Here is a 13,296-nt window from a genome sequence, read left to right on the forward strand (position 1 = left end):
CAAAGAGAAGATGAGGTTTGGCTGGAGCCAGGTTATGTGCCATGAGAAGGAATTTTAATATAAGTGAAAGTGCAGTGAAAAACCACTGGAAAGATTTAACAGGGGAGTAACATGATCTCATGAGTGTTTTTAAGAGATCAATAGTTATTGTGACTTTAATAACTATAACCTTCATCATATCTTCTCTACTTACACCTAAGAGGTTTCTAGTAAAGTTCATGTTGTTTTAGGGAAAACCAGTGAAAATACTGTACTTGAGAATACAGTTTTTTAAAAATTCTAAGCAAAATGTTAAGGTACTGAAAATACTTCAAAGTTGTCTTATATCCTGCTTTTATCCCATGTGAAACTCACAAGCAAATTTTGTTTATTTATTAATTCATTCAATAAGTATTTACTGAGCACGTATTATTTGTCAGGCACTGTTTGGGGTCCTGAGAATACAAGAATGAACAAAAGCTGTAAAGTTCCTGCCCTGATAAAGCTTGAATTCTAATAGCAGAGAGATCATTCATAAATATACAGGCAATAGCTCATTTTGTTATGGTTTGCTTCATTGCATTTTGCAGATACTGTGGTTTTGTTTTTGTTTTTGTTTTTGTTTTTACAAATTGAAAGTTTATGGCAACGCTGTGTCAAACAAGTTTCCTGGCACTATTTTTGGCACTATTTTTCCAACAGCATGTGCTTACTTCGTATCTCTGATAATTCTCACAGTATTTTAAACTTTTTCATTGTTATTTTATCTGTTATGGTGATCTGTGATATGTGACCTTTAATGTCACTTTTATAATTGTTTTGGAGTGTCACAAATTGCACCCATATGTGATAACAAACTTCGTCAATAAATGATGTGTGCTCTGACTGGTCCACCAACTGGCTGTTCCCCTATCTCTCTCACTTTTCTCAGGCCTCCCTATTCCCTGAGACACAACAATATTGAAATTAGGCCAATTATTAACCTTAGTGGCTTCTAAGTTTTCAAGTGAAAGAGTCAGACATCTCTCACTTGAAATCAAAAGCTAGAAATAAATGATTAGGCATAGTGAGGAAGGCATGTCAGAAGCTGAGAAAGGCCAAAACCTAGGCCGCTTGCAACAAACAGTTAGCCAAGTTGCAAATGCAAAGAAAAAGTCCTTGAAAGACATTAAAAGTGCTAGTCCGGTGAATACAAGAATGATAAAAAAGCCAAACAGCCTTCTTGCTGATATGAAGGAAGTTTGAGTGGTCTGGATAGAAGATCAAACCAGCCACAACATTCCCCGAAGCCAAAGCCTAATCCAGAGTAAGGCCCTGACTCTGGTTAATTCTCTGCAGACTGAGAGGGGTCAAAAAGCTACAGAAAAATGTTTGAAGCTAGCGTAGGTTGGTTCATGAGATTGGAGGAAAGAACCCGTCTCCATGATATACAAGCACAAGATGAAGCAGTAACTGCTGATTTAGAAGCTGCAGCAGGTTATCCAGATCTAGCGAAGATCATTGATGAGGGTGGCTACACTAAACAACAGATTTTCAGTGTAGATGACACTGCCTTCTCCTGGAAGAAGATGACATTGAGGACTTTCATAGCTAAGGAGGGTAAGTCAATGCCTGGCTTCAAAGCTTCAAAGGACAAGCTGACTTTCTTCTTACAGGCTAATATAGCTGGTCACTTTAAATTGAAGCCAAGACTCATTTAGCATTCTGAAAATCCTAGGGCCCTTAAGAATTATGCTGAATCTCCTCTGCCAGTGCTCTATAAATGGAACAATCCAGCCTCGATGACAGCATATTTGTTTACAGCATGGTTTATGAACTATCTTAAGCCCATTGTTGAGACCTACTACTCAGAAAAAAAATTCTTTCAAAATATCACTTCTGATTTACAATATACTTGCTCACCCAAGAGCTCTGATGGAGATGTACAAAGGAGATTAATATTGTTTTTATGCCTGCAAACACAGCATCCATTCTGTAGCCCATGAATCAAGGAGTAATTTTGACTTCCAAGTCTTATTTAAAAACGTTTTTATAAGGTAAAGGCTGCCATAGATAGTGATTCCTCTGACAAATCTGGGCAAAGTAAATTGAAAATCATTTAGAAATAACACTATTCTAGATGCCATTATGAACATTTGTAATTCATAGGGGGATGTCAAAATATCATTAACAGGAGCTTTGGAGAAGTTGATTCCAACCCTCATGGATGTCTTTGAGGATGTCTTTCCTCAGTGGAGGAAGTAATTGTATATGTAGTGGAAATAGGAAGAGAACTGAAATAAAACGTAGAGCCTGAAGATGTGACTGAATTGCTGCAATCTTATGATAAAATGTGAATAAATGACGAGTTGCTTCTTATGAATGAGCAAAGAAAGTGGTTTCTTGAGAGGGAATCTACTCCTGGTGATGATACTATGAATGTTGTTGAAATGACAACAAAGAGTTTAGAATATTTCATAAACTTAGTTGATAAAGCAGTGGCAGGGATTCAGAGGATTGACTCCAATTTTGAAAGAAGTTCTATTGTTGGTAAAATGCTATCAAATAGCGTCACATGCTACAGAGAAATCTCTCATGAAAGGAAGAGTCCATTGATGCAGCAAACTTCATTGTTGTCTTAGTTTAAGGAATTGCCACAGCCACCCCAACCTTCAGCAACCACCACCCTGATCAGTCAGCAGCCATCAACATCAAGGCAGGACACTCCACCAGCAAAAAGATTCCAACAACTGACTGATGGCTCAGATGATCATTAGCATTTTCTAGCAATAACATATTATTTAATTAAGGTATGTACATTGTTTGTTCAGACATAATGCTATTGAACACTTAATAGACTACAGTATAGTGTAAACATAACTTTCATATGGCACTAGGAAACCAAAAAATGTGCATGACTTGCTTTATTGTGATATTTGCTTTATTACAGTGGTCTAAAGCTGAACCCATAATATCTCTGAGGTACACCTGTATAATGCCAGGTGGGATGAATGGTATGAAGAAATGAAGCCAAGTAAGAGGATAAAGGGTGATGGGGATGTGGAGTTTAGGGAAGACCTGTCCAAGGAATGCCACTTAAGCAGAGACCTGAATGAAGTGAGGGAGTAAGCCCCAAACATCAGAGACAAAGGACAGAACAGGTACAAGTGCCCTAAAGTGGCAGGGCAGTGTACTTTGTATGATCCAGGACCACCAAGAAAGGCAGTGAGGCTGGCATGCAGGCAGGAGAGAAATGAAGTGAAAGATGAGTTTATAGAGGTTGCAGGGGCCATATCATGAAGGCCTTACTGATTAGGAAGTAGAAAGAAAGGGGGATCCTGGAGACCAGTGCAGTGGCTATTGCAGTGGTAAAGGTAAGACATAATTGTGGCTTAGACAAAGCTGGTGTCACAGAGGTGGTGAGAAGTTGGCATATTCAGAATATATTTTGATGATAGAGCCTATGCAATCAGACAATAGATTGGAAGAAAGGAATAAAGATTTACTGCAAGATTTATGGCCTGAGCAATCAAATGAACAGTGATTCCATTTACTGAGAAGGACAACACTGGGAGGAGGTACAGATCTGAAAGAAATAAATCAAGAATTTGGTTTTAGACATGTTGAATGTGACATTCCTATCAGACATCTTACTAGAGAAATCTAACAGTCAGTTGGACACAAACACCAGGATTTCAAGAGAAAGGCCATGATTGAAGATGGAAATTTGGTGTGCAAATATATACACATGTGTAGTGGGTATTTACAACTATGGGAGAAAATGAAATGAGATCACTCAAGGAGTGAGTGCAACTAGGAAAGTGGCCCTAGGGCTGAGTTGTGAAGCACTCTAATATTCAGAAATGGGGAAGAAGAGAGGATCCAACCAAGAAGACTGAGACAGAACAGAGAGTATGAAGAGAACCAAAGCGGGCTCACAAAGCCACGTGAAGAATGTTTTTCACAAAAGAAGTAACTGGCAACTGTGGCTGTTGAGCAGTCACTAAGGTGAAGATTGAGACTCGACCTTCAATTTGGTGACATGGAGGTCACTGGTAACCTGGAGAAGAGTGGTTCAGTACATGAAGAGTACAAAAGGCCAAGTGAAGAAAACTCGAGGAAGGAAGCAAAGTGAGGAATCAGATATGAGTAGAAATAATCCTTTTGCTATGAAGGCAAATGGAAAAATGAGTGATAACTGGGGAGCGATGTGGGGTCATGGGAGGGTGTGTTTTTGTTTTTAAGATGGGAGCTGTTCCAGCATATTGATATACTGATTAAAATAACTCCATAGGCCAGGCACTGTGGCTCATGCCTGTAATCCTAGCACTTTTAGAGGCCAAGGCGGGTGGATCACAAGGTCAAGAGATCAAGACCATCCTTGCCAACATGGTGAAACCCCATCTCTACTAAAAATACAAAAATTAGCTGGGCAAGGTGGTGCACCCCTGTAGTCCCAGCTACTTGGGAGGCTGAGGCAGGAGAATCACTTGAACCCGGGAGACGGAGGTTGCAGCGAGCTGAGATTGCGCCACTGCACTCCAGCCTGGTGACAGAGCAAGCCTCTGTCTGGAAAAAAAAAAAAAGCCTCCATAGAGAGGGAGAAAGTGATGATGTAGGAGAGACAGAAGATAATCATAGGAGCAAAGAGGTTGTTCTTACCCAGGAACTTGAGTGCTTCATCCTTCCTAACAGGCGGCAATGCAGAGGGCACAAAGACAAATGCAGCAGGATATTAGTTGCATGGTGAGATAGTGCTGTTGTTTTCTTTTGATTGGCTTCTTCTTCTTGATTTCCTAGGTTAAACAGAAGGAAAGTCTTTGGCTAACAGGAAGAAAAGGGAATAGTTGGGAAAATAATCTATGAAATGGTCTTTTGAGAATAAGAGCTAAGAGTGTTGGTTGGCTAGATAAACACAGTAGATTTCTGGGTAGCACTGAGAGCCCGCTTCGGTGGCCATAATTATAACATGAGACCAGTCAGCATAGTCGTAAGTTTTATCAGCTACATTTAGCAGTTCATGTATAGGTAGGCATGGAATAGACAAAGAGTTGGATTTAACAAAGATGTGTGTATATACGTGGCGAAAGATAAAAGAGGGAAGAGAGTTGAGAATATACACAAAGGAGTGATTACAGTAATGGACCATGGAATATAATTCAGCCAAGGAATGAAAAGAAGCCTTTGAGGATGCTAGAAAGTGAAAAGTTGGTCAGGTATAAAGGTTAAAAGTCTAAGTAGGTTTGACAATTCATTAGGGAAAGAGACTAGAGCAAGTATGAGTGGGTGATGCCTAATATTGAGATTATAGAAGGAATACTATGCCCTGGAACCTAATTTTATTAGTAACTGCATTCCCTATGTAATCACTTAATGGCAATGAATGAGGGGGAGTAACAAGAAAAATAAACTGCAATGAGGACAGGTAGTGGGTGCTAAGAGTCCAGTGGTTCTGGCTTCAAAGGAGCCAGAGATCATTAGAGAGGATGAAGGAACAGTGTTCAGGATATCACAAGGGAGCGCCTTCCTTACTTCCATGCCCAGGAGCATGAGGGGTGGGAAATGAGATGGCCACTGCTAGAGAAGGCTGCAGGGGAAACCATGTCCTCAGGGTCAGCTATATCGTGGTTAGAACCGAAAGGCAAAGTGCACTCTTGAGAAGTAGTTGAGATTATATGGGATTTTGCTAAGAACTGATCATGAGATCCACAGAGCACAGTGGAAGTTAACTGAAGAGAAGAGGTGAGATTAGGGGATTTACAGAGTCTGGAGTGAGAGTAGAAGAGATAAGGATGACTTTCTATTAACAGGGAGGTAGGGTATATTTGAGAGACTAGTATCTTAGACAGTTTAAAATGATTTAAAAACTCACTGATGTGATTTTTTTACTCTTAACTCTCTTCCCTCTTTTATCTTTCATCATGTATACACACACATCCTGGTTAAATCCAACTCTCCATCTATTCCATGCCTTCCTGTACGTGAACTGCTAAATGCAGCTGATAAAACTTAAAACTATGCTGAGTGATCTTATGTTATAATTATGGCCATGAGTCTCAAGCTGGCTCTCAGTGCCACCTAGAAATCACTGTGGCATGGAGTAGGTTTTACCAAGAAGACAGAACTCTGTGAAAGCCTCTCTCCCCATTTAGTCCTGTAGGGGACTGTGTCAAAGTTGGAGAAAAATGGATCATATCAGAAAATGAAAGGTAGGCATTGGGTCTACAACTTAAAGATCCCATTTATGTTCCTTCCTGTTCCTTGACCTGACCAACTTTACACTTTCCTCACTCTTTAATGGCCTCATTTTCTTAAATTCCTTGATTCATCACTATAATCTCAATAAACTAGGTACTGATTTAACGCATCTCACAATAATAACAGCTATTTATGACAAACCCACAGCCAATATCATACTGAATGGGCAAAAGCTGGAAGCCATCCCTTTGAAAATCGGCACAAGACAAGGATGCCCTCTCTCACCACTCCTATTTAACTAGTACTGGAAGTTCTGGCCAGGGCAATAAGGCAAGGGAAAGAAATAAAGCATATTCAAATAGGAAGAGAGGAAGCCAAATTATCTCTGTTTGCAGATGACATGATTGTATATTTAGAAAACCCCATCGTCTCAGCCCAAAATCTCCTTAAGCTGATAAGCAACTTTAGCAAAGTCTCAGGATACAAAATCAATGTGCAAAAATCACAAGCATTCCTATACACCAATAATAGACAAACAGCCAAATCATGAGTGAACTCCCATTCGCAATTTCTACAAAGAGAATAAAATACCTAGGAATACAACTTACAAGGGATGTGAAGGACCTCTTCAAGGAGAATTACAAACCACTGCTCAAGGAAATCAGAGAGGACACAAACAAATGGAAAAACATTCCATGCTCATGGATAGGAAGAATCAATATCATGAAAATGGTCATACTGCCCAAAGTAATTTATAGATTCAATGCTATCCCCAACAAGCTACCATTGACTTTCTTCACAGAGTTAGAAAAAACTACTTTAAATTTCATATGGAAACAAAATAGAGCCCGCGTAGCCAAGACAATCCTAAGTAAAAAGCACAAAGCTGGAGGCATCATGCTACCTGACTTCAAACTATACTACAAGGCTACAGTAACCGAAATAGCACGGTACTGGTACCAAAACAGATATATAGACCAATGGAACAGAACAGAGGCCTTAGAAATAAAGCCACTCATCTACAACCATCTGATCTTTGACAAACCTGACAAAAACAAGAAATAGGGAAATGATTCCCCTATTTAATAAATGGTGCTGGGAAAACTGGCTAGCCTTATGCAGAAAACTGAAACTGGACCCCTTCCTTACACCTTAAACAAAAATTAACTCAAGATGGATTAAAGACTTAAACCATAAAAACCATAGAAGAAAACCTAGGCAATATAATCATTCTCTTGCATATGTCTTCAAAATGCCCTTTGTCCCTTCTTCATGCCCACTGCCATTTCCTTAATCTAGGACTTCATCAACTTTTACCTGATTTTCTTGCATTATCCTGTTAAGTAGTTTTCTTATTTTTATTCTCAGCTCTTCTCCCTGATTCAACCTCTAGGTTGCTACCATGAGTGCAAATCATCATATCATATTGTATCATATTGCTCCCTGCCTAAAATGCTTCAGTGGCTCCAAACTGTACATGGGACAGAGCCCAAACTATTGTTCCCCATCCTGGGTGGCAGTGTGATGCAATGGAAAGAACATAGGCTGCAACCCAAGAGTCTGAATTCTGCCATTGCTCATGGTGGGGCTTTGAACAAGTTGCCAAACTTCTCAGAACCTCAGTTTACTCATCCTAAAATTGTTGCACAATTAAAATAATTTCTATCTTGAAGTTTTCCATGAGGTTTAATAATAAAGTGTAGGCCAGCTGCGGTGGCTCACACCTGTAATCCTAGCACTTTGGGAGGCCAAGGTGAGCGGATCACAAGGTCAGGAGATGGAGACCATCCTGGCTAATATGGTGAAACCCTATCTTTAGTAAAAATACAAAAAATTAGCTGGGCGTGGTGGCAGGCGCCTGTAGTCCCAGCTACTTGGGAGGCTGAGGCAGGAGAATGGCATGAGCCCAGGAGCTGGAGCTTGCAGTGAGTGGAGATTATGCCACTGCATTCCAGCCTGGGTGACAGAGTGAGACTCCATCTCAAAATAATAATAATAATAATAATAATATTAACCATAGCACTGCTGGAGTGTGAAAAAGATTAATTCCTGTTCTTAACTAAACGATGTGACTATTGAAAATCTGTCTCTGCTGTCTTTCTAGTTTCATTTTTAACAAGTCCTTTGGTACTTTTCTCAGCCCCCTTACTCCCTGCTCTACTCTTCACCTTCCATTCATATTGTATAACCCAATCATACCTAAATATCAGGCTTTACTCAAATATGTCATATTCTCATATCTCACTTTCCTGGCACTTGCTGTTTGCTTTACTTGTAATGCTTGTCTGTTCACCTGAATGGCTCCCCCTCACCCTTTGCTCAGCTTAAAAAGGTAACTTTTGGCTGGGCGCGGTGGCTCACGCCTGTAATCCCAGCACTTTGGGAGGCCGAGGAGGGCGGATCACGAGGTCAGGAGATCAAGACCATCCTGGCTAACATGGTGAAACCCGGTCTCTACTAAAAATACCAAAAAATTAGCCGGGCGTGGTGGCGGGCACCTGTAGTCCCAGCTACTCGGGAGGGTGAGGAAGGAGAATGGCATGAACTGGCGAGGTGGAGCTTGCAGTGAGTCGAGATCACGCCACTGCACTCCAGCCTGGGGAACAGTGGGAGACTCACTCTAAAAAAAAAAAAAAAAAAAAAAGAAAGAAAAAAAAAAGTTACTCTTTTGTGAAGCCTTTCCTAACTCCCAAGGTAGTCAAATGCCCCTTTAGGGTTTCAAACATATGCCTCTTTTATAAGGCATATCATTTGAACTGTAAAACTGAATGTATGTCAGCTAACATGATGACTTCCACGTGAGACTATGAGGTCCTTGTGGAAGAGGCTGGGTCTTGTTCAACTATGATTTCCCACTAAAAGTACAGAGCTTCCCATACTGTGGGCAGTGGGTAAAGGTTTGTTGAATTAATGAATGAGTCCCTGGACATGGCATTTTCCACATAGATTAGGCTCTTCTGCTCAGTGTGTATGCAAGTACATATAAGCATGCTTAGTTGAAAGAAACAGAGATCTACTCAAGGTAGCTTGAATATAAGAATAGTTTATTAAGAGAACTCTGGTGAAAAATATCACAGCTCTCCAAAGACTAGGCACTAAATCTAACCTAGGCACACGAACTTGGAAAAGTATGGTCATACTCCCAGGTTATTCTTTTTGTTTTTTGTTGAAATACGTGTCACTACTTTTTCATCTCCATCTGTGTCATCTTCTTGCTTCCCTAGTTGGAGATCTTTTATCTATTTATTCCATACTTTTCTGTACCTCGATGACTTCAACTTACATGTAACTTTGGCTTGCTGTGGAGTTGACTCTGGCTGAATATTATCTTTCTATTTTATCTCTTGGTCAATGCCACCATGGCAGAGATCACTACTTTGTTCATCGCCATGTCCTCGGTTCCTGATATATTTTAGGTGCTTTATAATTCTTTATTATTTGAATTTTATGAGTATCTACAATCACCTTGTAAATTTTTTCTTTCAGTATCATAGTTTTCAATTCTCTTGAGAAAGAATCTGGTTCAAAGTCTACCCTTAGTTTAATACAAAGAGTTGGGCTTGCATAGTCATAACTATGGCTTTCTGGACCTGCCTCTTAAGCAGTCTGTGGGTGGTGGAGTTAAAGGTGGTTAGACAGCCCAAACTACATTTTTTATAGTGCCTATTAATGCACTTTCCAGAATTAGAGCCACTGCCCATCTCCTCAAAAGAGGTCACCATCCTTGGAAACCACTTTTTGAAGATTCTCTAAGAACACATTGAAAGTGAGATGAATATTCAGCTTCCACTGGGCTGACTGATCTGGGATTTTTTTCTGTCTGGGAGTACAATGGCTTCTCCCCCTAGGAAGAAAACCATGAAAAAACAAGGATGATTTTGTTTTCCCCCACCTTCTTCTCTTCAAGTTTTCACATTTACACAACTTAGCAAGGTCTAGAGACCTGATGTGGCCTGTTCAAGGACCCATTGCTAGACTAAGGAGCAAAGTTGTGTGTTGGCATCCCACCCCACAGTTCTGCTCACTTTATGGGATTGACATGCCCATTTTGTCCTGGCAGTAAAGTTGTCTGCCAGGGAACATTACTTTGCTCTCACACATTTAGTACTTACAGATCCATACAGCAAAGGCCAATAGCCTGGATATACACAGCAGCACATCCTTGCTAGCTAACACTCTTTTGTTGGTGCTACGACACCTGCCACCTACCTTCCTCTACTCAGCAGCTGGCTTCCAGCACATTCATTACTCTTGAGAGAGGTGGATGGAGTTGGGATGGGGTATTCTGCTTACCTACTCTGCCTTGGTGGAGGAAAAGTTCCCCAGCATATCTGCCTGTTTCTTGTTCCCCTAAGCAGATGTACATTTACTACCCTTACTTAGCAACTTCTTTGCACTAACATGGACATATGCACCTTTTTGTTTATTTAATGTATTCCTTAAGACCTCACTGAACATCCCCCTCTGTTGGAAGGTTTACCCAAATTGGCACACACCTCTATTGCAGAATTTGTCACTTTACATTGAGGATGTTTACATGCCTATCACCTTCCTGACACATACACTCACCAAGACACTAGGTCTTAGAGCAGCAGAGACTCTGTGGCAGGTACACAGCTCCAGGTCCCTTTAGAGTATTGTCTGGCATGTGGCAAGATTTTTCATAAAATACTTGAGAGGTGAAGGCAGACTTACATGGTTTAGTGGGAAACAAACTTACTCAACTAAGAAGACGGGATTGGTTTTGGCCTTGATGCTGTCTATTTCTATGACCTTGAGAAGTCATTGAACTCTATTTCTGTCATCCACGATGCATATTACCAACTATCTGACTCACCTGCACACAGGGCTTACATTCAGCTGATGTGGTTACATCAGTTTTTAAAATATTGAAACACTTCTATACAGCCAGTGAATAGTCTTCACTCCAACCCCCATGTACTACCCTAACCACATATACTCCTCCCCTGCAGCCCCCGGATTTCCTTTTGATGGTAACCAAAGGGAGAGTATACCTGAGGAGGCCTCTAGAGCCCTGCCCTGGCACTAGGGCTGCCATCCCTTCTGATGAGTTAATGTGCTTCTGTTCTACCTGCTGATAAATACTGTGAATATCACTCTTGGCTCTGCCATAGGGTTGGGGTATCACCAAATGATACAGAGCACAGCAAGCACTTTGCACACTGTGAAGGGTTGTATACATAGACATCCTGTCCATAATTCCCCAGAAGGGATTAGAGCCACAAAGAAGGGAAGGAGCTTGTTTCTAAATTACAGCTCACCCTCTATTTAGTTGAAGGCTGAGGAAGGACTTGGTGGGGAGGGCTTGACATGCTCACAAGCTGACTGAAGGGAGTTCACACAAAAGTTCAGGTGGACCCCAGGATGGAAAAAGAGTTTCTCACAAAACCTCCTTAAAAGTGACTTGTCCGAATTCCTCACTGCAGCAGCCTGGGATTCAATTTGCAGCTTTTTAAAGCACGTACACCATCAGCTCTGTTCTCCCATCCCTCTGATTGCTCACAATTAGAAGCCCATTTCACTCTGCTCTTAGTTTGCAGGTGTCCCCTTAGGTAGGACAAGAGCAGCCTGAAAGTGGACGGTGGAGGGTGGGGAGAGCAGACTGGCTGGAATGAGGGTTTGCATGATCTGGTATTTATGGAAAATTGGAAGTGCTAATGAACCTGAGATCCATCAGGGCTTTCTCAAGGCAGGATGGTCTCTGTCAACAGACCAATTAGCACACAATTATTAGCTCTTTCTGAAAGCTTATCTGAGGCATTCTTTGAACAGTGTGTGCCTGAGTGAACTGCACTCTCCATTACCTGTATAGGCTCTCTTTATAATCTGCCAAAGCTGTCTGCCTCTTCTACAAAGAAAAGTGCAGGATTCTCTTGAACAACCCTCCAGAGATGCTGAGGTTTTCCTCACTTTGGGGCAAGGGGTGGGGGGGGTGGTTCTCAAGCTATTCTGCTTACTCAAGTCAGTACTCAGGCAATAACTGCAATGGGACCCTCTCCAGCTCCCTCTATTCTTTTCACCTCCTTTACTTCTGAAGGGAGAAGACAGTGTGTCAGAGCAGAATAGCAATGAAAAGCACTATGACTCTGGAAACTAGTGAAACTTGAGTGGGCCTTTCTCACTCTGTGGGTTTTTCACTCTAACAGGAAATGAGCATGAGGATCATGGTCTTTGTCTCCTAATTCCCATCCTTGTGCCACAATTAAAGTGAAGTTACTCACACCCTTTTAATGACTTACCTAATTGATTGTCCTCTTGTGGGACTGACCTTTAGAACAGCAGAGTAAAGGTCAGAAAATTGCATCAAAGATAGCCCAGCATGATGAACAAGATGATGGTGGGGGGCGGGAAGCAGATGCATTGGTGGCAGGCAGGGATGGGGGAGGGAGAAGTGGGGGGAAAGGAAAGCTCCTATTGTGGCTATTCTCTAGCCTGTCCTCCTCTTTGGGTCACATCTTATTCCCACTTAAGGCTTGTTAGCTTCCTTCTTTCCTGGACCTGGTTGGTGAGTGACCAAGTCAGGAGTAAGTGGATGGAAAAGCCAGTGAAAAACCCAATGACGACGGAGTGGGCAGCTTACCTGTAGGCAGGGACAGGCAAGCCTCCAAATACCATACCCCTGTGTCCCACCTCTGTCCTTCAGCCCACCCTACCCTAGAGGGGCAAACTTCCCCAGAGTAGCTGGGACAGTTATTGGCCATGGCTCTTCATATGGGGAATTCAACACTATATAGAAAGTGAAGACTTCACCTTGAAATGAGGCTGCCTCTGCTTCCCCAGTCCAGTCTGACCAGTAGCCAATCACCCACTCACCCAATAAAGAAACATGATTCAGCACCTGTGTCCACATGTGGAGGGAGGCAGGCTCATGTGTAACAGCCAGAACACTGGGGTTGTTTAAGTACATTTCCACTTGTCTCTAAGCTCCTTACTGGCCATGACTATGTCTTATTCATCTGCGAGTTCCAAATGCTCCTTGAATATTTGTTAAATGAGCAAATGAGTAAATAAAAGAATGAATGAGTGAACCAAATAAATCTTATCCTTGCAGGTGACTGTATGACCTGGAATAAGTCATTTAACTTATCTGAGCCTTGGTTTCCTAATCTGCATTGTAAG

The 13,296-nt window shown here is 41.5% G+C and overlaps 1 protein-coding gene across 3 annotated transcripts in view; it reads left to right on the forward strand.

Annotated features, from left to right (window-relative positions):
* BRINP2 (BMP/retinoic acid inducible neural specific 2) overlaps nucleotides 1-13,296 on the forward strand; it is a 111,465-nt gene that overhangs the window by 87,023 nt on the left and 11,146 nt on the right. The window lies entirely within an intron of this gene.

Source organism: Homo sapiens, chromosome 1 (genome assembly GCF_000001405.40).
Source record: "Homo sapiens chromosome 1, GRCh38.p14 Primary Assembly".
NCBI classification, from domain to species: Eukaryota; Metazoa; Chordata; class Mammalia; order Primates; family Hominidae; genus Homo; species Homo sapiens.